This window comes from Homo sapiens, chromosome 13, assembly GCF_000001405.40.
Source record: "Homo sapiens chromosome 13, GRCh38.p14 Primary Assembly".
Lineage (NCBI taxonomy): Eukaryota > Metazoa > Chordata > Mammalia > Primates > Hominidae > Homo > Homo sapiens.
In genome coordinates this window covers 105,174,044-105,177,928 of record NC_000013.11, presented here as the reverse complement: position 1 = coordinate 105,177,928, position 3,885 = coordinate 105,174,044, and the positions used below count along the sequence as shown (strand labels likewise).

The following is a 3,885-nucleotide window of genomic DNA, read 5'->3' as shown; positions in this document are numbered from 1 at the left end:
CCAGATGGTCAGAAAGGCACCTAAAAACTTGGAGACTCTCCAGAGACTGGAATGGAATTGAAAGAGCTGGTAATAAGCAGAGTTGAGCATTGTAGGTGGGTGCCAAGTCTGAGTGTGCATTCCAGAAGTAGAAATGGGTAGAGCGAATTTGACCTATCTCTAGATAAGGAGGAATGGGGAAGTGGGAGATGAGCTTCCTCAATAGCCAGACAATGTTGGGCAAGTGTCTCCAGACAGTACTGAACTAGATTTAGTCAAAGATAACTTTGCTCTTTGTCTGCTCCAGTTGCAAAAATTCCATTCCTTTCCCATATGGGGTGGTTGATTCCATTTGCGATAGCTGAACTTTATTAAATGAAGGACAGGTCAGGGAAGAAAATACCATGGGGAAGCTTGATAGAGATAAGATGAAGAAGACATGATGTGGCAGGGCATGAACAGTCAGCAGTGGGGGATAACGAAAGAGAAACAGGAAACAAGTATGAGACAGAGTTAGGAGGCCTTGGTAATTTTCTGCAGATAAACAGTGAGGGGAAGACAGCAAACAAGATTGCATGGATCTGGACCTGAATGATGGGAACATAATGATGAGAAGAAATTTAATACATTTAGATTTATAGTCATAAGACTATACCCAGATAGGAATATCTGCAAGGCATTTGGGTGTATAGGTGGAGGAAACAGAAAGGTGTCAGGGTTGAAGATACTCAGGTACAAAGAAATAACTATCAACTATTTTGAGGAGATGAGATTATGAAAGCAGAGTTTTGTCATAGGAAAAACACACAGGGCAGAATTTCGAAAAACATTTAGTAGGTAGGTATATGAAAGGAAGCTTGTTAATGACATGGAAGACTCTGAGGTCAGAGAAGTGGGTGACTCCAGACTCTGCAGTGACATTGGATTCTGAGGCAGTGTTTCTACAGCTTTCCTTTCTCAAGAATCTAGATAAATCAGCGAATAAATTAGCAGATGAAGTGTTTGTGTTTCTGCATGGAGAAGTCTCTCATTGTATGTATTAGTGCCCAACAGATGGTCGGACACACATAATTATTATATGCTACTACTACTATTATCATTTATAAGGATAAAGTATTATCATTATAAGGATAAAGTATTTAAACACAAAATAATAAACACTGTTCTTTGAAACCTGCATTATTTGACACAGTTTGCAAACACCTGGTGAATTCCTCATCCCCCAGCCAATGCATTATATGTATCTTTAATGCATATAATGCTGAACAGTAATCAATGTGCTGCTTTTCTCTTCCTCTCAGCCAAGGATAGGCTCAAGCCCTCCTCACTTACTGACACTAGGAAATAACAGTGTGTCTAACTTATGATGTCACCTTTATCAACATTTCCAGTTCCAAAATGTGAATTCTGAATCTAAACTTAAATGTTTATTCAGTGAAAGGCAGGGGTGTCTGTGAAGATTCACTAGTCTAAATAGAAATCATGCTAGACAGAAGGGAGGGCAGAAAAGAGAGAGAGGGAGGGAGGGGGAGAGAGAGAGAGAAAGAGGGAGAGAGAGAGGAGAGAGAGAAGAGAGAGGAGAGATAGAGAGGAGAGGAGAGGGAGGAGAGAGAGAGAGAGAGAGAGAGGAGGAACATGCCAGGAATGATCTGTAAATATGAGTGAGGAGGTAGCAGTGATGGAGGAGAAATTTAGATGAGACACCAGAAACAGAGGACTGGGACTGAGCCTTAAGGAAAGTTTTTTTGGCAAAAGCCAGAATGCTACAACAGCCTTCATGCTGAAAATCTAGTATGGTCACATATGTAATGAAAATAAGTGAAGGCCCTCTTTAAATCAATGCTACATCACTTCACAGTCCCACACGAAGTATGTAAATACAATGCTTGTTTTGTTTTCTCATGTGTTAAATACTAGGAGAACTTCAAAATCAAGGAGTCCTTGTCCGACTACAAGAAAACACTCTTTCATAGTGCTTTATGCCTAATTAATCAGGCAGTTGGTAATTTGGAAAGTTAAAATTCAGAAAAGATACTATTTCTAGAGAAACAAGTAAGCAAAAATATTTAAAATTTTTCTGCATCTCATTTAATTATCTCATAATTTCTATCATAAGAAATCTATTTCCAATAGTTTTGGTTAACATATTTCAAATCTATGAAGTTTACCAGGTTACCAATACTGAACTTAGAAACATTTGTAAAAATAACCTGCACTGTCATTTTTATGAAAATGCTACATTAATGTAATCATGCAGTACAATCATGTTGAAAATAAGGGCTCAAATACATCTGATATAATAACATTAATCCCAATTTACAATTATTTGCTCTGATCTTTTTGCTAACAATTTAAATTTCCTTGCATAGACATCACCCTGTCTCTCACAGAAAGCGGCTCTATATTTTTTGCTTATGTTCCCACTTAACAGCAGTCATTAATTTACTGATACTCTGTCTATCAGGCCCACATCATCTTGATTAGGGCTGTTATCCTAATCAAAAGGCTGATAATTAAGACTATCCATCTGTAGAGTTCTAAGTGGTAAGATGAGTTGAAGATCCTAATTAAGATTATTTAGGTGTTACTTAAATGCCATCATTTGATTCAGCTAATCATACCAGCAGGTACATTAGATTTGCATTAATGTTCTGCTGAAGCCAGCAGCTATTTAGGCAGATCAAAAATGTAGATTGCAGACACTATTTCAAACATCTTTATTTGAAAGTGATATTGAGACAATACATTAAGAAAAGCAGGATGTAAGAACAGCTAGGTTATTTCAATGTTTCTTAATTTACTTTATGGTAATAAGGGGAGTATTTAAAATAAACAGCTTATTTATTGAATTTGCTGTGTATCTTTCAGCATCCTGCACCCTCTCTCTTACACACTCATTCACAAACCAATAGTAATACATTTTTCTAGCATTTCCCGTTTTGTCACATACACATACTGTGACATGGTGAAAGTCTCTGCAAACTAAGTTTACTAAATAGAAATGCTTAAGAACAATACAGAATGTTTTTTTGCCAATAAATATCTGATGCTGTATTCAAAATAAGTCAAACAATATTTTGTTTTTAATAATCACATTAATATCCAATCATCTTCTCGTATAAATAATCAAGAAAACTACTGTAGTAAGGTATAACCCTTTGACATCTTGTTGTTCATTACTTTATGCTTGGTTACTGGAAAATACAAAATGTATTACTCATTTAAATTTATATAGGTATAATGGAATAAAATATCTTCATAGAACCTATGCTTTCAAGTTACTTTTCCCCCAATTTTGATGACAAATAATGCCATCCACTCTTTGGAAAAAGAGATTGCAATAATTTTTTGCAGGAGTAATTACCATAACATATGTGACCATGTGACCAATACTTTGAGTTCTCTTGTTCCCGTGTGGAGGAGAAAAAACATCAAAGTTTTTTTGCCCTTATGTAGCTTCTGAAATTATTCTATTAAGAAATGTTTCTGGGTAAGGCAAGGAGAGAAGATAAAATAGACATAATATAAAGTATGGGAAACTAAAGTTTATATAAAGCTCGTGCTCTATGTTTAGCAACCTAAATATTGGAGACCGTTGGTAACATATATAGTGGCTTTTACAATTTTTGCTCAAAGGACATAAGTTATGCCTGCTAAATATATACACTATTTAAGTATCTATTCATTTTTCAATTCCAATAGCCTAAAAATATTTTAATGTTTTCTTCTCACTGAATATTGAAGTTTTAAGAAAGTCTGTGATTTCTGAAAATAATCACTCTTCATGATTTACAGAATATACTTATATTTATATTAGAGATATGGCATACTTTTTCCTTTCTTTTTGCTGCTTCCCTCTTTTCCAGCTATGTTGAGATCTAATTGATGAATAAAATTAGGCAAGTT

General features: G+C 35.3%; 1 annotated feature.

The window, feature by feature from the left end:
* Positions 518 to 567: an enhancer, noted in NCBI's record as "active region_7979". NCBI's record gives its function as "activates an Ori minimal core promoter by ATAC-STARR-seq in GM12878 lymphoblastoid cells {active_cell/tissue: GM12878}" and the evidence as "EXISTENCE:reporter gene assay evidence [ECO:0000049][PMID:35858748]".